The sequence below is a fragment of the Homo sapiens genome, chromosome 19 (genome assembly GCF_000001405.40).
Source record: "Homo sapiens chromosome 19, GRCh38.p14 Primary Assembly".
Classification (NCBI taxonomy): domain Eukaryota; kingdom Metazoa; phylum Chordata; class Mammalia; order Primates; family Hominidae; genus Homo; species Homo sapiens.
Genome location: NC_000019.10, coordinates 2,142,798 through 2,167,450, shown reverse-complemented (window position 1 = coordinate 2,167,450; position 24,653 = coordinate 2,142,798). Strand labels below are relative to the sequence as shown.

Genomic DNA, 24,653 nt, shown 5'->3' with positions numbered 1-24,653 from the left:
CCCTTACTATTTACAATGGAGCACTGGCCAGGCAGGGCAGCAGGCATGCGGGCGGGGACACCAGGGCTGCCTTCACGTGAATGTTCACTTCAGTACCAAGGAAAAGGCAAAGGGTCCCTGGCAAGACCACTACCCCAGGCCCCGACGCTGGGTTCCAGTGGGTTTCTTAGCACTGACAAGTGGCAACTGTTGGGATGCAGATGTTAAACAGACGCTTAGCACAGGCCGTGCGGTCCACCCCTGAGAACCTCGCCACGCGAACACTGACTTTCACCAAAAATCCCGCCAGTGGTGTTTAGTGCGGGTTTATTCTAATCACCAAAAATTGGAAACAGCCCACAGTCCTGTGACCCACAGGCAAACACGTCAACAATCTGTGGCCCAACTGTCCAATGGATTTACAGTCAGCAAAAAAATGGGGTAACTTTTGAAACCTGCAGCAACACGGATTTGGCCGCCTGAAAGCCACCAGGACCAAAGGGCAACATGCTGTTGATTCCATTCAGCCAACTTTCTGAGAATGGCAGAACTACAGGTAAGGCCAGGTGGGGAGCAGCCAGGAGCTCCCAGGCAAGCTGAGGATGGGGGCGCCGCAGGGAAGCTGGGGGTTCTGCACCTGGACGGCAGCACTGGTCAGGGCACCACCCAATGAGTTTGTCAAAACGTATAGAACTGTACCCTGCAACCAGCGAACTACGCCCTAGGTGAACTGAAAGAGGAAGATATACGAATAAATGTGAGGCCAGGTGCGGTGGCTCACCCCTGTAATCCCGGCACTTTGGGAAGCCAAGGCAGGCGGATCACCTGAGGTTAGGAGTTCGAGACCAGCCTAGCCAACATGAAGAAACCTGGTATCTACTAAAAATACAAAATTAGCCGGACGTGGTGGCTCATGCCAGTAATCCCAGCTACTCAGGAGGCTGAGGCAGGAGAATCGCTTGAACCCGGGAGGCAGACGATGCAGTGAGCAGAGATGGCACCACTGCACTCCAGTCTGGGCAACAAAAGCAACACTTCCTCTCAAAAAATAAATAAATATAAATAAATAAATGTGAGGCCAGGCGAGGTGGCTCGTGCCTGTAATCCCAGCACTTTGGGAGGCCGAGGCAGGCGGATCACCAGAGGTCAGGAGTTCAAGAGCAGCCTGATGAACATGGAGAAACCCCGTCTCTACTAAAAATACAAAATTAGCAGGGTGTGGTGGCGCATGCCTGTAATCCCACCTACCAGGGAGGCCGAGGCAGGAGAATCGCTTGAACCCGGGAGGCTGAGGTTTCAGTGAGCCGAGATCGCACCATTGCACTCCAGCCTGGGCAACAAGAGCGAAACTCCGACTCCAAAAATAACAACATAACATAACATAACATAACATATAAATGTGGGCCGGGCGCGGTGGCTCACACCTGTAATCCCAGCACTTTGGGAGGCCGAGGTGGGTGGATCACGAAGTCAGGAGATCGAGACCATCCTGGCTAACACGGTGAAACCCCGTCTCTACTAAAAACACAAAAAACATTAGCCGGGCGTGGTGGCGGGCGCCTATAGTCCTAGCTACTGGGGAGGCTGAGGCAGGAGAATGGCGTGAACCCGGGAGGCGGAGCTTGCAGCGAGCCGAGATCGCGCCGCTGCACTCCAGCTTTGGCGACAGATCGAGACTCCGTCTCAAAAAAAAAAAAAAAAATGTGAAGCCATGTACTGGGGCTGGTCGGACGGTGGTAAGCCACCTCAATTGATCTTCAGTCAGTTACAGTTAGAACTCTTATGGTCATATGCCTTCTACCACCTAAAACGATGAGAGCCCAACAGAGAGAAGTGGAGGCTGGAAGGGTTCTGGAGTTTGAACTTTCGAGGGAGGAAACCGGTCGGGGCGCTGAAGCGCGGCCTCTGCTTTCAGTTTTTGTCCTAGGACCTCTCCTGGCGGGATCCCGGCTCAGGCCGCCCAGGCGCACACCCGGAGCTGCCCAACCAGAGAAGCCAGAGCCCCAGGGCCCTACCCCGCCAGCCCCGCGCGCGGGACGTGCGGCCAGGCTGGAAGCTGCGCTCCCTCTCCCATCCACTCGCACCGACCCGGGGCAGTGAGCCAGCCCGGGCTCCCCAGCGCTCTCCGCGTCCTGACCCCGCCCCCAGCGAGCACGTTTCCAAAAACTGACACAAGCCCAGCGCGCGCGGGAGTCCCAGGGCGCGCGGGGATGCCCGGCCGGGCCCTGCAGACGCGCCCCCCAAAACTCGCGCCCCGGACACGCTCGCTGACAGCGCCTGCTTCACTTTTCCCCGAAAACGCGCCCTGCCCAGCCCGGAGCGTGGCCAGAGGGTCCCAAGCGCGGACGCACGCGCCCCGCCTCCTCAGGGGCCACGCCGGGACTCGCACCCCGGGAGCCGCACGCGGGTTTCTGGAACCACCCGGTGGGGTGCCTCTGTAACATTCCACCCGGCCTGTCATTTTCCAACGGTCACCAAGATGAAGAAGACAAAATTTACTAACTCCGGGGGTGAGCCCAATCCTGCCCACTCAAGATCGGGGAGAAGTCCCAATTTCCAAGGATAAATAAAGCCTGTCCCCAACCAACTAGGATTAACAGGTCAAAGATGCCTAATTTCCCAGGGCCAGGGCAGCCCATACCCACTCAAAATTACGGGGACAAAAATTCCCCATTTCCAAAGGTCAGACCGCTCCCGCCCACTCAAGGGGACGTTAACTCCCACCTTCGCAGGGTCGGGCCCGCCGTGCCCGAGTAGGAAAAGCGTGACAAACGCCCAATTTTTAAAAAGAAGAGAAGAGGAGACAGGAAAGGATGCCCTCAAAAAGAAAAATAAGGCGGCGGACACACTGACAGCGCCGGGAACGAGCGGGGCGGGCGGGCGGGCTTCCAGTCAAAACGCGGCCGGCACGAGTTACCCCTTCCGTTCCGCGCCCGGGACAGCCCGGCGGGGGCAACGGCACCGCGGTAGGGCTCGGGGGCGCCGGCTCCCGCTCCCACCCCAGGCGCGCGGGGCTCCCACCCTGCGGGAAACAGCCGCGGGGCCCTCGGCCGGGAAGCAACGGGGGTGGAGCAGCGACAGTGGAGTCCAGGGTCTCCGTTCCGCAGGGGGGACCGGTGAGCGCGGCTTGGGGGGGTTTGGGGTGTCCCCAGGGGCGGCGGAGGAGGGGAGGCCGGGAGGTAGGGACGGTGGAGGGCGGCACTCACGTAGACCGGCAGCGGCCACGGGTAGACGGCGGGCTCAGCCCCCACGGGCGACTTCAGTCTCAGCTCCAGCTTCTCCCCCATGTCCGCGCGCGCGGCCGCCGCACCATGCTAGGCGGGCGGTTGGGGGAGGGGCGGGGCCGCCGGTGGGCGGAGGAGGGCGGGCGGGAGGGAGGGGCGGGAGGCTGAGGGGAGGGGGCCTGGCCTCGGCCTCGGCCGCCGCCGCCGCCGCCGCCGCGCTCCGGTCCGGCCCGGCCCCCGACTCCCTCTTTGTAGTCACAGGCCCGGGGCCTCCAGCGCCTCCGCCATCTTGGGCCGGCGTGAAGCGAGCACAATGAGCCGGGGGCCGGGCGGAACCACTCGCCCCGCGCGCTAGGGGAGCCCGGAGCGAAGACGCCGGCGCGTGCCCGCCGCCCAGCGGGCCGACCCGCGCGCGCCACCCCCTCGGCGCCCCGCCCCGTGGACTCGCCCGCCCGCCCGAATCCACGCACGCACGAACGTACGCACGCACGTCCTCGGTTGCCCTCGGCCGACCCCTTCCCCCACTCGCCGGCCCGAAGCGGGGACCCGGGGAGACCCTGTGGGCGGGCCCGTCGGATAGCGGGTTCGAATCCCGTCCCAGGAGGAGGACGCCGGACACCTCCCCACACACGGCTTAGTAAAACCAAAAATCCGAATTTCCCCCCATAAGAGTCACGGTCCAGGACTTGCTGTAGCTCCAAGTCCAGTATTCATTCGACAACAATGCTGTTTATTGGGTACAAAAAAAAAAAAAAAGGCCAGGCGCGGTGATTCACCCCTGTAATCCCAGCACTTTGGGAGGCCAAGGCGGGCAGATCACCTGAGGTCAGGAGTTCGAGACCAGCCTGACCAACATGGAGAAACCCCCTCTCACGGCCAGGAGCCCTGGCTCATGCCTGTAATCCCAGCACTTTGTGAGGCCGAGGCGGGAAGATCACCTGAGGTCAGGAGTTCGAGATCAGCCTGGCCAACATGGTGAAACCCTGTCTCTATTAAAAATACAAAAATTAGCTGGGCGCGGTGGCGGGCGCCTGTAATCCCAGCTACTGCGGGGGCTGAGGTAGGAGAATCGCTTGAACCCAGGAGGCAGAGGTTGCAGTGAGCCGATATTGCACCACTGCACTCCGGCCTGGGCAACAGAGCAAGACTCCGTCTCAAAAAAATAATTAATTAATTAATTAATTAATTTAATTAAACTATAAGTTTCTCCCAAAGTTAGTTCAGCCTATGCCCAGGGATGAACAAGGACAGCTTGGAGGTTAGAAGGAAGAGGGAGTCGGTGAAGTTAGATCTCTTTAACTGTCTCAGTCATAATTTTGCAAAGGCGGTTTCACCACCAGCACCTCCCCAAGTCCCCGGGGGACACCAACACCCTCCCTGCCCAGCCAGATTCCAGCCCTGCCCCACCCCTTCCCTGCTGGGTGACGTTGGGAGAGTCACTTGACCTCCGATGCTTTCCTCCTCTCAGCAATAGAGTCCCGCAGTCACTGCCACAGCCCCTGGTGATTAAAGCCTTTCAGTGTCAAGTACAAGTGCCTTGTACTGTTTTTTGGGGTTTTTTTTTTGAGTGGGGGGGTTTGTTTTTTGACACACAGTCTCGCTCTGTCGCCCAGGCTGGAGTGCAGTGGCACGATCTCGGGTCACTGCATCCTCTGCCTCCCAGGCTCAAGAGATTTCTCCTGCCTCAGCCTCCCGAGTAGCTGGGACTACAGGCACGAGTCACCACGCCCGGTTAATTTTTGTAGTTTTAGTAGAGATGCATTTCCGCCATGTTGGCCAGGCTGGTCTCTAACTCCTAATCTCAAACTCAAGTGATCCGCCCTCCTCAGCCTCCCGAAATTCGAAATTCGGAGATTTATAGGCATCAGCCACCGCACCCGGCCCCTTTAGTGTTGATCAAGATCTCAACAGGGGCCGGGTGCGGTGGCTCACGCTTGTAATCCCAACACTTTGGGAGGCCGAGGCGGGTGGATCACGAGGTCAGGAGATCGAGACCATCCTGGCTAACATGGTGAAACCCCGTCTCTACTAAAAATACAAAAAATTAGCCGGGCGTGGTGACTCGTGCCTGTAGTCCCAGCTACTCATGAGGCTGAGGCAGGAGAAATCACTTGAGTCCGGGAGGCAGAGGCTGCAGTGACCCGAGATCGTGCCACTGCACTCCAGCCTGGGCGACAGAGTGAGACTGTGTCTCAAAAAAAAAAAAAAAAAAAACTCAATGGGCTTTTTCTTTGTTGTTGGAAAGATGCGGTCCTGCTATGTAACCCAGGCTGGTCTTTTTATTTATTTATTTATTTATTTATTGACATAGTCTTACTCTCGCCTAGGCTGGAGTAGTGACTGGGATCTCCAGTCACTACAACCAGCGCCTCCTAGGTTCCAGCGATTCTCCCGCCTCAGCCTCCCAAGTAGCTGGGATTCTAAGTGCCCACTATTGTGCCCAGCTAATTTTTGTATTTTTAGTAGAGATAGGGTCTCGCCATGTTGGCCAGGCTGGTCTCGAACTCTTGATCTCAAGTTATATTCCCACCTCAGCCTTCCTAAGTGCTGGGATTACAGGCATAAACCATCATGCCCAGCCACACTCCTCTTTTTCTATAAAACCCCAGACTCCTCTTTGGTCTGCATGTATGCCTCAAATTCCAATTCTTTCTTGCCAAATAAAACATTAACTTTAGAGATTCATCTCTACATACTTATTTTGACCTTGACATTATTTTCCTTGTGGAAAAAAAAAGAACTTTTATCTAAGGAATGCAAGTCATTTTTAATTATCAGGCCCAGACAGCCAGGAGCGGTGACTCACGCCTGTAATCCCAGCACTTTGGGAGGCTGAGGGGGGCGGATCACCTGAGGTCAGGAGTTCGAGACCAGCCTGGCCAACATGGTGAAACCCCGTCTCTACTAAAAGTGCAAAAATTAGCCAGGCATGGTGGCAGGCACCTGTAATCCCAGCTACTCGGGAGGCTGAGGCAACAGAATGGCTTGAACCTGGGAGGCGGAGGTGGCAGTGAGCAGAGATTGTGCCACTGCACTCCAGCCTGAGCAACAAGAGCAAGACTCTGTCTCAAAAAAAAAAAAAAAAAAAAAAACTAGGAGAAGCTCCTGATGGGCCAGACAGTGTAAACCAGGAGGACCCTGGGGGTCCTAGGACTCACCTCCTCTCTCTCCCTACCCACTCAGGGTGTGGATTTCAATGTGGGCAGCCTCCTGGGACCTCAGCAGGGTGGTGGATCATGGGATGCAGTCTCTTGGGGGCTCTTGGAATCCCTTACCCAGGCGGTCTCAACCAGGGGTGATTCTGCACCCAGGAAACACTGGGCGATGTCTGGGAACATTTGTGATTGTCACAGCTAAGGTGCAAGGAAGCTCCTGGCATGGAGTGGGTGGAGGCCACGGACGCTGCTTACCACCCTGCAGTGCCCAGGATAGCCCACCCCAGAGAACAATCTGGCCCTGATGTCCGTGGTTCTCCAGGGGAGAGATCCTGGTCTAACATTATTCTGAACAGTTGATTTCTCCAGAATCCTGTGTAGGCAGGCACTCTATCTATATCCTCAGGATCACTGAGTACAGGTTATCCGGGCTAAGACACACTTTGGGGATGAATGGACCAATGCCTGTGCCCCTCCCATAGGCTACTGGGAGCTGGTGGAGGATGGACTGGACTCCAGGTGTGGCAACCTGTATCTCCGCCCACTTTTTTTTTTTTGAGACGGAGGAGTCTAGCTCTGTCATTAGGCTAAAGTGCAATGGTGTGATCTTGGCTTACTGCAACCCCCGCCTCCTGGTTTCAAGCGATTCGATTCTCCTGCCTCAGCCTCCCGAGTAGCGGGGATTACAGGCATGCGCCACCACTCCCGGCTGATTTTTGTATTTTTAGTAGAGATGGGGTTTCACCATGTTGGCTAGGCTGGTCTCGAACTCCTGACCTCAGGCTATCCACCCTGCTTTGGTCTCCCAAGGTGCTGGGATTACAGGCTTGAGCCACCACACCTGGCCTCCTCCCACTTTTGTACATCTCTTTCCTGAGCCATTTCCTCTGGTCATTCCCATAGTTCCTGTTACAGGTTTGAAACTGCCTTTGCAAAAATTAGAAGGCTGGGCACGGTGGCTCACGCCTGTAATTCCAGCACTTTGGGAGGCTGAGGCGGGCAGATCATGAGGTCAGGAGTTCAATACCAGCCTGACCAACATGGTGAAACCCCGTCTCTACTAAAAAAATACAAAATGGCCAGGCGCAGTGGCTAATGCCTGCAATCCCAGCACTTTGGGAGGCTGAGGCGGGCAGATCACGGGGTCAGGAGATCGAGACCATTCTGGCTAACGTGGTGAAACCCCGTCTCTACTAAAAATACAAAAAATTAGCCGGGCATGTTGGCAGGCGCCTGTAGACCCAGCTACTCATAGTCCCAGCTACTCTGGAGGCTGAGGCAAGAGAATGGCATGAACCTGGGAGGTGGAGCTTGCAGTGAACCAAGATAGCGCCACTGCACTCCAGCCTGGGAGACAGAACAAGACTCCGTCTCAAAAAAAAAAAAATACAAAAATTAGCTAGGCGGCCGGGCACGGTGGCTCACACCTATAATCCCAGCACTTTGGAAGGCCGAGGTGGGTGGATCATGAGGTCAGGAGATCGAGACCATCCTGGCTAACATGGTGAAACCCCGTCTCTACTAAAAATACAAAAAATTAGCCGGGAGCTGTGGCGGGCACCTGTAGTCCCAGCTACTCGGGAGGCCGAGGCGGGAGAATCGCTTGAACCCGGGAGGCGGAGCTTGCGGTGAGCTGAGATCGCGCCACCGCACTCCAGCCTGGGCCACAGAGCGAGACTCCGTCTCAAAAAAAAAAAACAAAAAAAATTAGCTAGGCATGGTGGCGCATGCCTGTAATCCCGGCTGCTCGGGAGGCTGAGGCAGGAGAATCGCTTGAACCTGGGAGGCGGAGGTTGTAGTGAGCTGAGATCGCGCCATTGCACTCCAGCCTGGGTGACAGAGGGAGACTCCGTCTCAAAAAAAAAAAAAAAGAGAGAGAGATGGAAACCATCGTGGCCAACATGGTGAAACCCCGTCTCTACTAAAAATAAAAAAATTAGCCTGGCCTGGTGGTGTGTGCCTGTAATCCCAGCTACTCGGGAGGCTGAGGCAGGAGAATCACTTGAGCCCGGAGTCGGAGGTTGCAGTGAGCCAAGATCACACCACTGCACTCTAGCCTGGTGACAGATCTAGACTCCATTAAAAAAAAAAATTATAACAGAAAATGTTGACAGTGAAAGAGATCTGACCTAGACGACTCCATTTTGCTTCTAACCTCCAAGCTGTCCTTGTTCATTCCTGGGCTCAGGCCAAACTAATTTTGGGAGTAACTTAGTTTATAGTTTAACTTTGAAACAAAGACGGTAACAGCTTTCCCCAAACAAACTCCTTTCTTGCCTGGGGACTAGACTGCCTTTGCAGGACTAACAGATTAGCAAGGAGATTAGAAATTATGGTTCATGCTGGGTGTGGTGGTGGCTCCTAGGGAAGCTGAGGCAAGAGAATCGTTTGAACCTGGGAGGCGGAGGTTGCAGTAAGCGGATTGCGCCGTTGCACTCCAGCCTGGGTGACAAGAGCGAATCTCCATCTCAAAAAAAAAAAAAAGAGCTGGGATCGGTGGCTCAGGCTTGTAATCCTAGCACTTTGGGAGGCCAAGGTGGGAGGACAACTTGAGGCCAGGAGTTCTAGATCAGCCTGGGCAATATAGTGAGACCCATTATCTACAAAAAATACACAAAAAGTAGCTGGGCCCCTGCTTGAGCCCAGGAGTTGAGGCTGCAGTGAGCTCAGATGGTGCCACTCCACTACAACCCAGGGAACAGAGCAAGACCCTATCTCTAAAAAAAAAAAAAAAACAGGTCGAGCACGTTGGCTCATGCCTGTAATCCCAGCACTTTGGGAGGCCGAGGTGGGCGGATCACAAGGTCAGGAGATCGAGACCATCCTGGCTAATGTGGTGAAACCCCGTCTCTACTAAAAATACGAAAAAATTAGCCGGGCGTGGTGGCGGGTGCCTGTAGTCCCAGCTACTGGAAAGGCTGAGGCAGGAGAATGGCGTGAACCCAGGAGGTGGAGCTTGCAGTGAGCCGAGATCGCACCACTGCACTGCAGCCTGGGCGACAGAGCAAGACTCTGTCTCAAAAACAAACAAACAAAATTCTGCTGAGCCGTGGAGGGAAGAAAAAAAAAGAGCACATGTGGGGTACAACATAGTTGCTAAATGAATGCTTCTGTAGAATGATGTCTAATGTGTCCTTTATCAACCCATCAAGCTCAATTTCCTCCATCACCACTATCCTTGCCAGTCTCCTCTCTGCTCCTCCACATGACAAACTTGAGCAAGCTCTTCCATTTGTCCTGACATCTGCCTGGATCACTTTTCCCCAATCCTGCTGCTGCCTACAGCTTTGTTCTCCATTCCTGCTCCTTGCCAAAGTGGCATACAGTAGATACTCAGTATGTTGTTGAATGGATGGATGGGTGGATGGGTGGGTTGGTTGATGGGTGGGTGGATGGGTGGATGGGGATGGATGGGTGGGTGGATGTTTGTTTTTTTCAACTAACGTTGATGGGTGGATGGGTGGGTGGGTGGATGGGTTAGTGGGTGGGTGGATGGATGAGTCGGTGGGTGGATGGGTGGATGGGTAGATGGGTAGATGGATGGATGGATGGATGGATGGATGGATGGGTTACTGTATGGGTGGATAGGTGGATGGTTGGCTGGATAGGTGGGGTAGATGTTTGTTTTTTTCTTTTTTTTTTTTTTTTTTTGAGACGGAGTCTCGCTCTGTCGCCCAGGCTGGAGTGCAGTGGCGCAATCTCGGCTCACTGCAAGCTCTGCCTCCCGGGTTCACGCCATTCTCCTGCCTCAGCCTCCCAAGTAGCTGGGACTACAGGCGCCCGCCACTACGCCCGGCTAATTTTTTGTATTTTTAGTAGAGACGGGGTTTCACCGTTTTAGCCGGGATGGTCTCGATCTCCTGACCTCGTGATCCGCCCGCCTCGGCCTCCCAAAGTGCTGGGATTACAGGCGTGAGCCACCGCACCCGGCCAGATGTTTGTTTTTTTCAAGAAACGTTGTGGATGGGTGGGTGGATGGATGGATGGATGGATGATGGGTGGATAGATCGATAGATGGATGGGTGGATGGATGGATGACAGATGGGTGGATGGATGAATGATAGATGGGTGTATGTTTGTTTTTTTCAACAAACCTTGTTGATGGGTGGATGGGTAGATGGATGGATAAATGGATGGATTCGTGGATGGGTGAATGGATAGATGGGTGGGTGGATAGGTGGGTGGGTGGATGGGTGGGTGGCTGTTTGTTTTTTGTTTAGTTTTGTTTTATTTATTTAGTTTTTTGAGACAGAGTCTCGCTCTGTCATCAGGCTGGAGTGCAGTGGTGCAATCTTGGCTCACTGCAACCTCCAACTGCCAGGTTCAAGCGATTCTCCTGCCTCAGCCTCCCGAGTAACTGGGATTACAGGCACCCGCCACCAAGCCTGGCTAATTTTTGTATTTTTAGTAGAGACGGGGTTTCACTGTGTTAGCCAGGATGGTCTCGATCTCCTGACCCCATGATCCACCCGCCTCAACCTCCCAAAGGGCTGGGATTACAGGCGTGAGCCACCGCGCCCTGCCCTGTTTTTTTTCAATAAACGTTGTTGATTGGTGGGTGGATGGATGGGTGGGTGGGTGGATGGATGGGTTAGTGGGTGAGTGGATCGGTGGATGGGTGAATGGATAGGTAGGTGGATGGATAGATGGAAGAGTGGGTGAATGGATGCATGAGTGGATTGGTGGATGGATGGATGATGGGTGGGTAGATGTATGTATGTATGAATGGATGATTTGATATGTGGCTGGGTGGATGGGGAGGTGGAAGGATGGATGAAAGGATGGATAATTTGGGGACAAGGTAACTGATTCGGGCTGGAGCTAGGACTGATGACAAATGTCCCCATCTCCTGCCAGAGCTCAGGGCTCCAGGCCAGGATCTTTCCAGAGAGAAGCTGCCCCTACTTTGAGCCTGGCTAGCACTGCTCTCTGCTGGTCACCCTGGAGGTTGCAGCCAGCCCACCAACTCCCAGTGATGGAAGAATCAGCACTCTTGTCAAAACCATTCTTCCTTTTTCTTTTTTCTTTTTTTTTTTTTTTGAGACGGAGTCTCGCTCTGTCGTCCAGGCTGGAGTGCAGTGGCGCAATCGTGGCTCACTGCAAGCTCCGCCTCCCGGGTACACGCCATTCTCCTGCCTCAGCCTCCCGAGTAGCTGGGACTACAGGCGCCCGCCACCAAGCCGGGCTAATTTTTTTGTATTTTTAGTAGAGATGGTGTTTCACCGTGTTAGCCAGGATGGTCTCAATCTCCTGACCTCCTGATCCGCCCACCTCGGCCTCCCAGAGTGCTGGCATGTCAGCCGTGAGCCACCGCGCCCGGCCCATTCTTCCTTTTTCATCAAGTTAAACATTTTTTAAATGTCCACCCATACAGAAAACAAAAGGACAAAGTCCCAATATCATAGAATTTGTGTTCAGGTGGGAGGAGGAGGTGGAGACCAATAATAAACAAAATGCTAGGTAGAAAACACAGTGTGTTGGAAAATAGGGGAAAAGTCCAGCAGAGAAGCGGGCAGGGAGTATGATGGGTACTTAATTTTTTTTTTTTTTTTTTTTTTTTTGAGACAGAGTCTCGCTGTCACCCAGGCTGGAGTGCAGGGGCACAATTTCGGCTCACTGCAACCTCCACCTCCTGGATACAAGTGATTCTCCTGCCTCAGCCTTCTGAGTAGCTGGGATTACAGGTGTGTGACACACCCAGCTAATTTTTTGTTTTTTTTGGTTTTTTTTTTGAGATGGAGTCTCACTCTGTCGCCCAGGCTGGAGTGCAGTGGCGCAATCTCCACTCACTGCAACCTCTGCCTCCTGGGTTCAAGCTATTCTCCTGCCTCAGCCTCCCTGAGTAGATGGGACTACAGGTATGGCAACCACGCCTGGCTAATTTTGTTTTTTTATTTTTATTTTCATTTATTTGAGAGAGTTTTGCTCTTGTCACCCAGGCTGGAGTGCAATGGCGCGATCTCGGCTCACTGCAACCTCCACCTCCTGGGTTCAAGCAATTCTCCTGCCTCAGCCTCCGGAAGTAGCTGGGATTACAGGTGCTCGCCACCACGCCCGGCTAATTTTTGTACTTTTAATAGAGTCAGGGTTTCACCATGTTCGCCAGGATGGTCTCCAACTCCTGACCTCAGGTGATCCACCCACCTCAGCCTCCGGAAGTGCTGGGAATGCAGGCACTGGCCGCCCCGCCTGGCCTCCTTTTGGGTTTTAATGGCAGCTTCATTAAACAGACATGACTCACAATCATAAAGAAACGTAATTGGGCCAAAAATTAGTATGATCTCATATGAATAGACTGACTGGGGAGCCAGGCAGGGCCTGTCTGTCCAGATTTGTCTTGGTCTCTCTGTAGCTTTTCTTCCTCCAGGGTATGGGGCATGACCTTCTCTGGAATGAGGTGTTTGGGCTCCCAATCAGATTAGAGTCCTGCCTTGGGCAGTGAAAAGGGACAGAAAGTGGAGAGAGAAATTCTGTTTCCCTAGGGCTTCGCCTGAGGACTAAAGAACCTATAAATAGGATGGGGCGTGGTGGCTCACGACTGTATTCCCAGCACTTTGGGAGGCTGAAGCAGGCAGATCACGAGGTCAAGAGATCGAGACCATCCTGGCCAACATGGTGAAACCCTGTCTCTACTAAAATACAAAAATTAGCTGGGCGTGGTGGCGAGCGCCTGTAGTCCCAGCTATTCAGGAAGCTGAGGCAGGAGAATCGCTTGAACTAGGGAGGTGGAGGTTGCAGTGAGCCAAGATTGAGCCACTGCACTCCAGCCCTGGTGACAGAATGAGACTGTCTCAAAAAAAAAAAAAGAAAAAAAAAACCATAAATAAATAAATAAATATTTCTGAGGCTGGTGCAGTGGCTCACACCTGTAATTCCAGCACTTTGGGGAGGCCAAGGAAGGCGGATCACCTGAGGTCAGTAGTTTGAGGCCAGCCTGGCCAACATGGTGAAACCCAGTCTCTACTAAAAATACAAAAATTAGCTGGAGGTGGTGGTGGGCAGCTGTAATCCCAGCTACTCGGGAGGCTGAGGCAGGAGAATTGCTTGAACCCAGGAGGCAGAGGTTGCAGTGAGCTGAGATCGCACCACTGCATTCCAGCCTGGGCAACAGAGCGAGACTCTGTCTCAAAAAAAAAAAAAAAAAAATTCAGGCTGGGCACAGTGGCAGAGGCCGCAGTGAGCGGAGATCGCGCCACTGCATTCCAGCCTGGGCTACAGAGCAAGACTCTATCTCGGGCGAGGGGAAAGAAATCACAAGGACGCCCGGAAACTGTTTAGCACTAGCTTGCAATGCTAACGCACACATATTCTATTACCCAGCGATTCCTCTACTGTTCCCGATAGAAATGCATGAATACATCCTCCAAAGATATGGAGCCACCATGCCCAGCAGTTCCCCTCCTTTTTTTTTTTTTTTTGAGACGGAATCTTGCTCTGTCTCCCAGGCTTGAGTGTAATGGGGCAATCTCAGCTCACTGCAACCTCCGCCCCCTGGGCGGAGCCATTCTCCTGCCTCAGCCTCCCCAATAGCTGGGATTACAGGTGCCCACAACCATGCCTGACTAATTTTTGTATTTTTAGTAGAGGTGGAATTTCACCATGTTGGCCACGCTGGTCTCAAACTCCTGACCTCAAGTGATCTGTCCTCCTCGGCCTCCCGAAGTGCTGGGGTTATAGGCGTGAACCGCTGTGCCCGGTCCCCCCCCCCACTTCTTTTTTGAGACCATGTTTCGCTCTTTTGCCCAGCCTAGAGTGCAGTGGCGCAATCTCAGCTCACTGCAACCTCTGCCTCCTGGACTCATGTCATTCTCCTGCCTCAGTCTCCCAAGTGGCTGGAATTACAGGTGCCCTCCACCACGTCTGGCTAATTTTTTAATTTTTAGTAGAGATGGGCTTTCATCATGTTGGCCAGGCTGGTCTCGAACTCCTGACCTCATGTGATCTGTCCCTTTAGGCCTCCCGAAGTGCTGGAATTACTGGTTTGAACCACTGCGCCCATCCTCCCCTCCCCCTGCCTTTTTTTTTTTTTTTTTTTAAGATGGGTGTCTGACTATATTGCTCTAGCTGTCCTTTATCTCCTGGGCTCAAGCAATTCTTCCTAAACTCTGGGATTTTACAGGTGTCAGCCATCCTGCCCCACCAGGATATAAGTCATTTGTCAGATATATGTATTGTAAATATCTTACCCCAGTTTTTTTGGTTTGTTTTGTTTTTTTGAGACAAGAGTCTCGCTCTGTTGCCCAGAGTACAGTGCAGTGGCGCGATCTCGGCTCACTGCAACCTCTGCCTCCTGGGTTCAAGAGATTCTTCTGCCTCAGCCTCCCAAGTAGCTGGGATTACAGGTGCATGCCACCACGCCCGGCTAATTTTTGTATTTTTAGTAGAGATGGGGTTTCACCATATTGGCCAGGCTAGTCTCGAACTCCTGACCTCATGATCCACCTGCCTCGGCCTCCCAAAGTGCTGGGATTACAGGTGTGAGCCACCGCGCCTGGCCCATCTTACCCCAGTTTTTATTGCGATTACTTTCTTTCTCCCTCTCTTTTTTTTTTAGACGGAGTCTTGCTCTGTTGCCAGGCTGGAGTGCAGTGGCGCCATCTCGGCTCACTGCAACCTCTGCCTTCTGGTTTCAAGGGATTCTCCTGACTCACCCTCCCGAATAGCTGGGATTACAGGTGCCCACCATCACACCCAGCTAGTTTTTGTATTTTTAGTAGAGACAGGGTTTCACCATGTTGGCCTGGCTGGTTTCGAACTCCTGACCTCAAGTGATCTTCCCGCTTACGGCCTCTCAAAGTGCTGGGATTACAGGCGTGAGCCACCACGGCTGGCCAAGTTTCCAGAGCTTTTTTTTACAATCTCAATGATGTATCTCGGAAGGCAGGGACTCAGTATATCTCATTTACCGCTGCATGCCCAGCACCCCTTACCATGCCTGGCACACAATGGGCCTTCGACAAATGTTTACTGAATGAATGACAATGTCGTAGTCCTGTCTCTGGCCTCATTTTCTTCCTGTGGGCATGTTAATGTCTGTCTTGCCCATTTCACAGGATGTTGTGAGGCTGCGGGAACCACAGGATCCGTTCCCCCACCCACCCAGGAGTTGGGTTTGGAGGCTCTCAGGCCGCGTCAGCTATTACATTCAGGAAAGGCGGAGCTCCAGTCTTCCTCGGGAACTTGCCGGCTAAGCTCCACGTGGGCGCCCCGCCCACATCCAGCCACGCTCACACCTGTCAGCTGGTGGGAGGGTCAGGACCAGCCTCTAAGGGGCGTGGCTAGGGCTCAGAACTAGGAAGAAGGCGGAGTTCCGGAGGCCACTGACCAATGAGAGCGCAAGTTTTGGGGCCGGAAAAGGCGGGGCCGCGCGCAGGAGAAAGAGGTGCCACATTTCCATTGGACTACCTGTCGTCGTCAGGGAAACGCAGCGTCTCCCTGCCGGGGAGGTGGCGGGGCGGGGCTTTCTGGGAGGCGGGGCTTCCGGGGCCGGCTCGGCTGGGACCGGGCGCTCGTCGTCAGCTGACCCGCCGCCATCTTGTCCGCCATTTGCAAGGGGCCCGGAGCGGGATCGCGGCACCTGCCGAGCGGGTCGCCGCCTCTGCCGCGGTCCTTGGACCCCGCCGCCGCCCTGGCCTGGGAGCTTGCCCCGCCGCAGCGGCCGGCAGCGCGGCGCTCCGCGGGCGGCAGGCACGGGCCCCGGGCCCCCTCACGGCGCCCAGCCGCGGGCCTCCCGAGGCAAAAGCCCGTGGGCCGCCGCGATGGCCCTCAAGATGGTGAAGGGCAGCATCGACCGCATGTTCGACAAGAATCTGCAGGACTTGGTCCGCGGCATCCGTAACCACAAGGAGGACGAGGTGAGCCCGGCGCGCCAAGGGGCTGCTCGGCCTGGTCACAGCCCCGGCCCAGGGCCCAGCCCTGCTCACTGGGCCTGCTCGGCCTGCCGCCCGCCCGGGCTCTGTCTTAGTTGGAGGTCCCGCTTAGGGCTCCGGCCCTGCCTGGCCTGGGCCTGGGGCGCCGCCCACCTCCTCGGTCCCCCAGCATCAGTTTCCCCACGAGGGGCGAAGGCCTTGGAGCAGCACATCTCGGATCCTCGCCTCATCGGATCACCTGGGGGAAGCGCTGTTCAAAATGCAATGCCCTGGGCCCCGCCTATAGGTGCCCTCCCCCTGGACCCTCAGTTTACTCTCTCAGAGGGAGATTCGGGCCCACCTGCCCCCGTCTCGGGCCACCCTCCCAGGAGACTTGCGAGGTCTCTGGGCAGAGCTTCTTCAACCTGAGTGTGTTTCCGAATCACCGATTAAAAATGCAGGGGCCCGGGCCCCGCCCCCGGACCCTCCCCGGGAGACCGAGGCAGGGGGTCCTGGGCCGTCCCTGGAGAAACTCCTTCTTCCTTCTGGGTCGTGTAAATGCGTGTCCAGGTCGCTCCCTGAGGCCTGGCTCGGAACCAGGCAGGGTCTTGGGGCGTTGCCTCCAGTGCCCCCGTTCCCAGGAAGGTGGGGCTGCTGCCAGGAGGGAGGAAGGACAGCGGCATCCTGATCCCCAGTGAGGTAGCAGCTTGCGGGAAGCTGGAATGGGGAAGCTGACTTCAAGTAGGAACCTGAAAGCCAGGGCGAGGAAATAGTTTTCCAGAAGTAAAATTACAACCGTGGGGATCGTTTCCTTCCCGCTCCTCCCTTCCCCCAACCTGTGACCTAGATTGAAGAAGAATGGGCAGAGTGGCCACCACGTGTCTGGCTTCATTAAGGATACCCGTGCAGCCCTTGGGCAGTGGGAGCCTTAGAAAGTGTCCTACTTGAGCGACTGCCTGCCTGCTTCCCTGCGTGGACAGCAAGGCAGGCCTGAAAGAGAGCCGCCGTCTGATACCGCACCAGTCCCAGTACCAGAGGCTGTGTCCAGGACGAGGTGCCCAGGAGGGCAGGGAAGTTAAGGGACTTGCTTCCTGGCACCATGTCCCTCAGCCCATGTCCCTCTCTCTGGGAACCCGAGCTCTTGCCGTATTGTTACACCTTTACACTTTCCTGGAAGTGGTGTGGCTTCGCCTGCCCCCACCTTAATGAGGTCATTTTTGTTCTTCTCCACCCCACTTCCCTTCGGCCTCCTTGGTTTTCTTCATCTCAGAAGCTCTCCCTAACTGCTTTGGTTACAACGTGTAACTAACTGGAGTAATGTTCAGATTCTTTGTGAGTTGAAAGCATCGCTGATGGGCCTGGTTTTTACTGAGCTTGGTTCAGATTGGAAATGTGGTTCACTTCCCGAGAGGACTTTTTCTGCACAGGCAGGATCTCCCAGCGCCCGTCCCTGCTCCCTTCAGCGCATGTCACTGAGCAGCCTGTTCTGGGACCCTGACGATGGGCCAGGGGGTCTGTCCAGTGGAGGACCACACCTCTAGTCTGGGGCATGGTTTTCAGGGGGATGTGCCTGTCTTCACTGGGAAGCCCCTGAGCCTGGTTTTCTTCCTTTGGAATTGGTGTGAGTTGATAGCGCCTTCCCCACAAGTCTGGGCCCCTTCAAGGGGGTCTTGGTGGTGGAAACTTTTTTTTTTTTTTTTTGAGACGGAGTTTCACTCTTGTTGCCCAGGCCGGAGTGCAGAGGCATGATCTTGGCTCACCACAACCTTCACCTCCCAGGTTCAAGCGATTCTCCTGCCCCAGCTCCTGAGTAGCTGGGATTACAGGCATGCACCACCACACCCAGCTAATTTTGTATTTTTAGTAGAGACAGGGTTTCACCATGTTGGTCGGGCTGGTCTCAAACTCCTGACCTCAGTGATCCACCCGCCTTAGCCTCCCAGAGTGTTAGAATTACAGGCGTGAGCCACTGCACCCGGCTGGGAAACATTTTTAAAACGGCGCAGGGTTGTCCTTGAAAGTCCCAGGCTTCCTCATTGGCCCTGCCATTGGCGGGTGGGTGATTTCAGGCAGGACACGCAGTGTCTGGGGACCCTGGCTTTCTCACTGGAAGACGATTGTTATGGTCCAGAGGGTGGTAACTCAGGTGTTCATGTCTGATTCTGGATGTTCTCTGCAGCTGCTGGAGTCTCCTGATTGGAGAGCAGCAAATGACTGTTCAATGACAGTTCTAGTTGTACCTCCAGCACCCCCACTCACTTTGAAAAAGCAGCTATCCTATAGACCGTATGTTGTAGGTTCTTCCCTCCCGCCCACTGCACCCGGAACAAAGACTCTAGACAGTGTGCGCATTTTCTGCAGCAGTATAGTTTCCAAAAAAAGTTTCCATTTCGTAATAGATTTTCACCTAAAACTTGAGTGTGGCATCATGGAAACAAGGCTTAGCAATGACTTTGAAAGCCACGTGGAAAGGCAGTGCGATGGAGTAGAAATCGCATGAGGTTTGGGAGATCCGAGTCCAGGTGCTTGGGCTGACTGGCTGACTTCATGGGGCGGCCCATCTAGAGCCCCCTGCTCTGTCTCCTCCCTTGTAAATGGGGATGACAGTCACCTCCCTCCTTGCTGGATGATGCGGAGGATGCTGCAGTGACACGCGGTTTTCTGGAAGCGCCAGAGCGCTGAGGTTGTCTAGTTCACTGTTTTCCAGTCCTCAGGCTGTGACCTCTTTGTGGGTTGTGAATTCAATTTAATGGTTATGCTAGGTAAGAAAAAGGAAAAGAAACTAGAAGAGACCAGAGTGCAGGCACATACAGTAACCGTCCTGTCCTGAAACTTTGATTTCTGCATGTGATACTTGTGTGTACGTGTAAACGTATCGGGTTCCCATGCAAAACCTATTAAGATGAGTCCAAAAAGCGTGAGAAGTAGTGGTCTCATGTGTATGTGTCTTGGTCCACTTGGGAGTGTCCTCAGCTTCTAAAGCTCGATAGAATTGGCACAAAAAACAAACGACTTTTAATATTTTGTTCTCACAAGTCCTTTTCATAGTTTTGGGAAAGTTTTCTCCATTTTTTCTTTTTCTTTTTTTTTTTTTTTTTGAGACGGAGTCTTGCTCTGTCCCCCAGGCTGCAGTGCAGTGGTGCGATCTGGGCTCACTGCAAGCTGTGCCTCCCGGGTTCACGCCATTCTCCTGCCTCAGCCTCCCGCCACCACGCCCGTCTAATTTTTTGTATTTTTAGTAGAGATGGGCTTTCACCGTGGTCTCAATCTCCTGTCCTCGTGATCCTCCCGCCTCGGCCTCCCAAAGTGCTGGATTACAGGTGTGAGCCACGGTGCCCAGCCTTTTTTTCTTTTTTTTTTTGAGACTAAGTCTCGCTCTGTCGCCAGGCTGGAGTGCAGTGGCACGATCTCGGCTCACTGCAACCTCCACCTCCCAGGTTCAAGTGACTCAACCTCCCAAGCAGCTGGGACAACAGGCGAGTGCCACCACATCCAGCTAATTTTTGTATTTTTAGTAGAGATGGGGTTTCCCCATGTTGGCCAGTATGGTCTCAATCTCTTGACCTCGTGATCTGCCCACCTTTGCCTCCCAAAGTGCTGGGATTACAGGGTGAGCCACTGTGCCCAGCCCATATATTCTTTTTCTTTTTTCTTTTTTGTTTTTTTTTTCTTCTTCTTGTTTTTTTTCCAAGTCAGAGTCTCGCTGTGTTGCCCAGGCTGGAGTGCAGTGGCACAATCTTGGCTCACTGCAAGTTCCGCCTCCTGGGTTCAAGCAGTTCTCCCTGCCTCAGCCTCCCCAGCGGACTCCAACTAAAAAAAAAAAAAAAAGAAAGGAAAAGATATAAAGAGATTAAATTTGAACTGAGTGTGTTTTCTTTTCTTTTTTTTTTTTTTTTTTTGAGACAGAGTTTTGCTCTTGTTGCCCAGGCTGGAGTGCAATGGCGCGATCTCGGCTCACCGCAACCTCCGCCTCCCAGGTTCAAGCAATTCTCCTGCCTCAGCCTCCCTAGTAGCTGGGATTACAGGCATGTGCCACCACCCCGGCTAATTTTTTGTATTTTTAGTAGAGACGGGGTTTCTCCATGTTGGTCAGGCTGGTCTTGAACTCCCGACCTCAGGTGATCCACCAGCCTCGGCCTCCCAAAGAGCTGGGATGACAGGCGTGAGCCACCACGCCCAGCCGAACTGAGCGGGTTTTCTCTCCTTTTAATAACGTCAGTCATTCCACTAGATCAGCGTCTGCCCCTCACCACTGTGGATGTTGGGGCTGGATCATTCTCTGGGTAGAGCTATTCTGGGCACTACAGGGTGCTGAGCAGCATCCCCGCCCCCACCCACTCCGTGCCAGGGGCTCCTCTGGTCATGCCAGCCACAGGTGTGCCCAGACCAGAATGTCTCTTGGAGGTAGAATCAACCCCAAATTAAAAGCCCCTGACCCCCCTTGATGGTAAGAAAAGTCTCCCAGAATTCCCGAATGCGTCCCTGTTGTCCAGGTGCCCTCGTCCCCCGTGCTGTCACGGTGGTGGTGGACCAGAGGGCGTGGATTCTAAATGTGCTTTGTTTTCCCTCTGAGCTGCTTTGATTGCAAAATATGCAGTGCATAGGACATTGTACGGCTTTTTTTTTTTTTTTTTTTTGAGACAGGGTCTTGCTCCGTCTGTCACCCAGGCTGGAATGCAGCGGCACAATCTTGGCTCACTGCAACCTCTGCCTCCTGGGTTCAAGTGATTCTCCTGCCTCAGCCTCCGAAGTAGCTGGGATTACAGGTGGCCGCCATCACACCTGGCTAATTTTTGTATTTTTAGCAGAGACGGGGTTTCACTGTATCGGCCAGGCTGGTCTCAAACTCCTGACCTCAAGTAACCCACCCACCTTGGCCTCCCAAAGTGCTGGGATGGCAGGCGTGAGCCAGTGTGCCCGGCCTGTACAGCTAATTATTATGGTAATGATCCTGACTTCTGTAAGTTTAATTTCCTTGACTTGCTTGTAGTTTTATCACTTAAATTTGTGTCCCTGAACCATAGGCGTGATTGCCTAAGGTGTGTGTGCTTTGCAGCCGTCATGGTGGGGAGGGAGCTGTCCTCGGTCCTTGACGTGGGTGGCTGTGCTCTGTTGTTTACACACAGCTTCCATACATAGTCGGACATGTGGGTGGTTTCCATGTGGGGTCGTTTTATGAATGGACTCAAGCCGTAGAGGCCCTCAGGAAAGCGCCCGCTCCCCACAGAGCTTCTCCCAGCAGCAAGCATGAAAGCCGCAGCCTCGCCTCCCGCACCACCAGCAGGGCTGGGGTGTTTGGGGGGTGCAGCTGTAGTGTCAGCTGCCCTGCTTATGAGTGCGGTTCACTCATTCACAGGCGTTTAGCCGCTTGCGTTCTTCCTGAAGCTCTCTCTTCAAAGAGGCTTGGGCCTCTTTGTCTATTTTACTCCTTTGCAGGGGTTTTCAAAAGGCAATCTCTGGGCAGAAGGCTTGGTGTGTGTGTGTGGAGGTGGCTTCAAGGCCGAGGCATGTGGGTCCTGGAGGGGCATGTGGGTGGGGGTGAGTTCTGCCCTTGTAACCAGCTTCTGGGTGATGCTCACTTGCGTTGAGCTTTGGAGAGCCAGGAAGACCAGAGGGCAGGAGCGGCGACGCCAGCCCTGGGTGTGCTCTGGCCCAGCCGTGGCACTGTGGACATCAGGCTGGATTGTTCTTGGGGTGGGGGTGTTGGGGCACTGCAGGGCACTGAGCAGCGTACCCGGCCTCCACCCACTCCATGCCTAGATATCTGCAAGTCGTGGCAACCACAGATGCTGCATACATCGCCCAGTGTCCCCTGGAGGGGCAGAGTCACCTGCTGGGAACCACTGCCTTAGGAGTTCTTGGACTGGCTGGTGGCTGATTTGTCCACGTGGCAGTGAGACAGGCGGAGGGATGTGGGGACCCCGGGTGGCCTGCTGGGCATCCACCATGTGGCCCACTCTGTGCTGAGTGGTCCCTAATGCTCCTGCTCATCTGTGACTGGGGCCTGAGGACCCTCCTCTGCTCTGCCCAGGCCTCCAGCCCTCAGGGAGCTGCGGTCCAGATGGAGCCTCACGTCCTTCCTGGTGTTTTGTCCTGTCCTGTGATGCTGCTGAGCCAAGGTGGTTCCTTTCTTTGAACAGTTGAGATATAATTTACATGCCACAAAATCTGCCTGTTCTAGGCATGAAATGAAGTAGATTTCAGTATATTTACAAACGTGCAGTGATTCAGCACAATACGTTCAGAACAGAGAAACCTATGCCCTGGCGACCACTGACCTGCTGTCTCTGTGGATTTGAGCCAGAAGCGTTTTTGTTTTGTTTGTTTGTTTGTTTGTTTTTGGAGACATAGTCTCCCTCTGTCGCCCAGGCTGGAGTGCAGTGGTGCGATCTTGGCTCACTGCAGCCTCTTCCTCCCAGGTTCAAGCAATTCTCCTGCCTCAGCCTCCTGAGTAGCTGGGATTACAGGCATGCACCACCATACCAAGCTAATTTTTGTATTTTTAGTGGAGACGGTGTTTCACCATGTTGACCAAGCTGGTCTCAAACCCCTGACCTCAAGTGATCTGCTCGGCCTCCCAAAGTGCTGGGATTACAGGTGTGAGCCATTGTGCCCCGCCTTGACTCAGAGGGTTTTAATGGTGACCGTGCCACCCCACAGACATCCAGGCTGAGCTGAGGGGCCGCAAGTTACAGGACTGAGCACAGAGACGGGCTGGGGCTGGACTAGGCAGGGCTGGCCGGGGTCTGGTCCTGGATGGGGCTGTTTCTGGTTTCTGCCCTGTTGCGTGTTAGTGTGCTGCACCAGCCTCAGTTGTGGGAGTGGAGGTAGGTCCCGGTGTGGGGGCCTCGGTTCCATGCTGCCTCAGGGTGGCCGCGGCCGCTCTGCTCCTGGGTGCAGAGGGCGTTGAGCCTGTCCACAACAAGAGAATAAAGCAGGACGGTGTCCCGGGCTGTTGAAAGAGCAGAGCGCTCCGCAGGAGAAGCTCCTTTCATGCTGCTTCTGGGGTTCTGGGGTTTGGTGGCTTTTCTGTTTGAATTCGAAGTGATGGTGATTGTGGATAGTAACTTATCCTGGGCAGGATGGACCACTTCGCCGGCGCGTCCCCTTTCCTGACTCAGTTACTGTTGGGACTTGGAATTCTTTTTTTTTTTTTTTGAGACGGAGTTTCACTCTTGTTGCCCAGGCTGAAGTGCAATGGCGCGATCTCGGCTCACCGCAACGTCTGCCTCCCGGGTGCAAGCGATTCTCTTGCCTCAGCCTCCCGAGTAGCTGGGATTACAGGTGCGAGCCACCACCCCGGCTAATTTTGTATTTTTAGCGGAGATGGGGTTTCTCCACGTTGGTCAGACTGGTCTCGAACTCCCAACCTCAGGCGATGCACCCGCCTCGGCCTCCCAAAGTGCTGGGATTACAGGCGTGAGCCACCGCACCTGGCCGAGGCAGCACTTTCATTTATTTCCTTTTTTATTTTTTTTTTGAGGCAGTCTTGCTCTGTTGCCCAGGCTGGAGTGCAGTGGTGCGATCGCGGCCCCCTACAGCATTGACTTCCTGGGCTTAATCAATCCTCTTACCTCAACCTTGCAAGTAGCTGTGACTACACGATGTGCCACCACGCCCAGCTAATTTTTTATTTTTTGATTTTTTTGAAACAGGGCTTCAAAAACCTCCTCTCTACACAAAAATACAAAAATTAGGCAGGCTTGGCCTGGCACGGTGGCTCACGCCTGTAATCCCAGCACTTTGAGAGGCCAAGGTGGGCGGATCACAAGGTCAGGAGATCGAGACCATCCTGGCTAACACGGCGAAATCCCGTCTCTACTAAAAATACAAAAAATTAGCCAGGCATGGTCGCGGGCGCCTGTAGTCCCAGCTACTTGGGAGGCTGAGGCAGGAGAATGGCATGAACCCAGGAGGTGGAGCTTGCAGTGAGCTGAGATCGCGCTGCTGCACTCCAGCCTGGGCGACAGAGCAGGACTCTGTCTCAAAAAAAAAAAAAAAAAAAAAAAAAAAATTAGGCAGGCATGGTGGCACGTGCCTGTAGTCCTAGCTGCTTGGAAAGCTGAGGCAGGAGAATCACTTCAACCTGGGAGGTGGAGTTTGCAGTGAGCAGAGATCATACCACTGCACTCCAACTTGGACGATAGAGTGAGACTCCATCTCAGAAAAAAAAGAAAAAGAGGCTGGGCGTGGTGGCTCACTCCTGTAATCCCCGCACTTTGGGAGGCCGAGGTGGGCAGATCACCTGAGGTCGGGAGTTCGAGATCAGCCTGGCCAACATGGAGAAACCCTGTCTCTACTAAAAATATAAAATTAGCTTGGCGTGGTGGCTCGTGCCTGTAATCCCAGCTACTTGGGAGGCTGAGACAGGAGAATCACACTTGAGCTTGGGAGGCGGAGGTTGTGGTGAGCCAAGATCACACCATTGTACTCCAGCCTGGGCAACA

At 54.1% G+C, this 24,653-nt stretch overlaps 2 protein-coding genes across 11 annotated transcripts in view, besides 13 other annotated features; one reads left to right on the top strand and one right to left on the bottom strand.

Moving 5' to 3' along the window:
• DOT1L (DOT1 like histone lysine methyltransferase) overlaps positions 1-3,518 on the bottom strand; it is a 68,646-nt gene extending 65,128 nt beyond the window's left edge. For 4 of the 6 annotated variants that reach the window (NM_001411141.1, NM_032482.3, XM_011528359.3 and 1 more), the window contains exon 1: positions 3,186-3,518. In NM_001411141.1, the coding sequence (NP_001398070.1) occupies positions 3,186-3,266 (81 nt within the window). In that variant the 5' untranslated portion in view covers positions 3,267-3,518. Of the gene's footprint in view, positions 1-2,703; positions 2,895-3,185 lie in introns of those variants that run through there. The other 2 variants (XM_047439514.1, XM_047439513.1) reach the window with 1 other exon arrangement.
• Positions 1,827-2,208: a silencer, noted in NCBI's record as "fragment chr19:2165242-2165623 (GRCh37/hg19 assembly coordinates)". NCBI's record gives its function as "represses an EF-1alpha promoter that drives an FKBP-Casp9 reporter gene in an ReSE screen in K562 erythroleukemia cells {active_cell/tissue: K562}" and the evidence as "EXISTENCE:reporter gene assay evidence [ECO:0000049][PMID:32094911]".
• Positions 1,956-2,065: a silencer, noted in NCBI's record as "silent region_9772". NCBI's record gives its function as "represses an Ori minimal core promoter by ATAC-STARR-seq in GM12878 lymphoblastoid cells {active_cell/tissue: GM12878}" and the evidence as "EXISTENCE:reporter gene assay evidence [ECO:0000049][PMID:35858748]".
• Positions 2,186-2,405: a silencer, noted in NCBI's record as "silent region_9771". NCBI's record gives its function as "represses an Ori minimal core promoter by ATAC-STARR-seq in GM12878 lymphoblastoid cells {active_cell/tissue: GM12878}" and the evidence as "EXISTENCE:reporter gene assay evidence [ECO:0000049][PMID:35858748]".
• Positions 2,835-24,653, top strand: part of AP3D1 (adaptor related protein complex 3 subunit delta 1) — a 63,629-nt gene continuing 41,810 nt past the window's right edge. For 3 of the 5 annotated variants that reach the window (NM_003938.8, NM_001374799.1, NM_001261826.3), the window contains exon 1: positions 15,885-16,212. In NM_003938.8, coding sequence (NP_003929.4) covers positions 16,117-16,212 — 96 coding nt within the window. In that variant the 5' untranslated portion in view covers positions 15,885-16,116. Of the gene's footprint in view, positions 3,096-15,884; positions 16,213-24,653 lie in introns of those variants that run through there. The other 2 variants (XM_047439598.1, XM_047439597.1) reach the window with 1 other exon arrangement.
• Positions 2,900-3,039: a silencer, noted in NCBI's record as "silent region_9770". NCBI's record gives its function as "represses an Ori minimal core promoter by ATAC-STARR-seq in GM12878 lymphoblastoid cells {active_cell/tissue: GM12878}" and the evidence as "EXISTENCE:reporter gene assay evidence [ECO:0000049][PMID:35858748]".
• Positions 3,160-3,229: a silencer, noted in NCBI's record as "silent region_9769". NCBI's record gives its function as "represses an Ori minimal core promoter by ATAC-STARR-seq in GM12878 lymphoblastoid cells {active_cell/tissue: GM12878}" and the evidence as "EXISTENCE:reporter gene assay evidence [ECO:0000049][PMID:35858748]".
• Positions 3,320-3,859: a silencer, noted in NCBI's record as "silent region_9768". NCBI's record gives its function as "represses an Ori minimal core promoter by ATAC-STARR-seq in GM12878 lymphoblastoid cells {active_cell/tissue: GM12878}" and the evidence as "EXISTENCE:reporter gene assay evidence [ECO:0000049][PMID:35858748]".
• Positions 15,439-15,876: a silencer, noted in NCBI's record as "fragment chr19:2151574-2152011 (GRCh37/hg19 assembly coordinates)". NCBI's record gives its function as "represses an EF-1alpha promoter that drives an FKBP-Casp9 reporter gene in an ReSE screen in HepG2 liver carcinoma cells {active_cell/tissue: HepG2}" and the evidence as "EXISTENCE:reporter gene assay evidence [ECO:0000049][PMID:32094911]".
• Positions 15,684-15,853: a silencer, noted in NCBI's record as "silent region_9767". NCBI's record gives its function as "represses an Ori minimal core promoter by ATAC-STARR-seq in GM12878 lymphoblastoid cells {active_cell/tissue: GM12878}" and the evidence as "EXISTENCE:reporter gene assay evidence [ECO:0000049][PMID:35858748]".
• Positions 15,904-15,953: an enhancer, noted in NCBI's record as "active region_13658". NCBI's record gives its function as "activates an Ori minimal core promoter by ATAC-STARR-seq in GM12878 lymphoblastoid cells {active_cell/tissue: GM12878}" and the evidence as "EXISTENCE:reporter gene assay evidence [ECO:0000049][PMID:35858748]".
• Positions 16,572-16,733: a silencer, noted in NCBI's record as "fragment chr19:2150717-2150878 (GRCh37/hg19 assembly coordinates)". NCBI's record gives its function as "represses an EF-1alpha promoter that drives an FKBP-Casp9 reporter gene in an ReSE screen in K562 erythroleukemia cells {active_cell/tissue: K562}" and the evidence as "EXISTENCE:reporter gene assay evidence [ECO:0000049][PMID:32094911]".
• Positions 18,871-18,920: an enhancer, noted in NCBI's record as "active region_13657". NCBI's record gives its function as "activates an Ori minimal core promoter by ATAC-STARR-seq in GM12878 lymphoblastoid cells {active_cell/tissue: GM12878}" and the evidence as "EXISTENCE:reporter gene assay evidence [ECO:0000049][PMID:35858748]".
• Positions 21,286-21,908: an enhancer, noted in NCBI's record as "H3K4me1 hESC enhancer chr19:2145542-2146164 (GRCh37/hg19 assembly coordinates)". NCBI's record gives its function as "activates a minimal SCP1, AML or CMV promoter by ChIP-STARR-seq in naive H9 embryonic stem cells {active_cell/tissue: H9 hESC(naive)}" and the evidence as "EXISTENCE:reporter gene assay evidence [ECO:0000049][PMID:30033119]".
• Positions 21,909-22,532: an enhancer, noted in NCBI's record as "H3K4me1 hESC enhancer chr19:2144918-2145541 (GRCh37/hg19 assembly coordinates)". NCBI's record gives its function as "activates a minimal SCP1, AML or CMV promoter by ChIP-STARR-seq in primed H9 embryonic stem cells {active_cell/tissue: H9 hESC(primed)}" and the evidence as "EXISTENCE:reporter gene assay evidence [ECO:0000049][PMID:30033119]".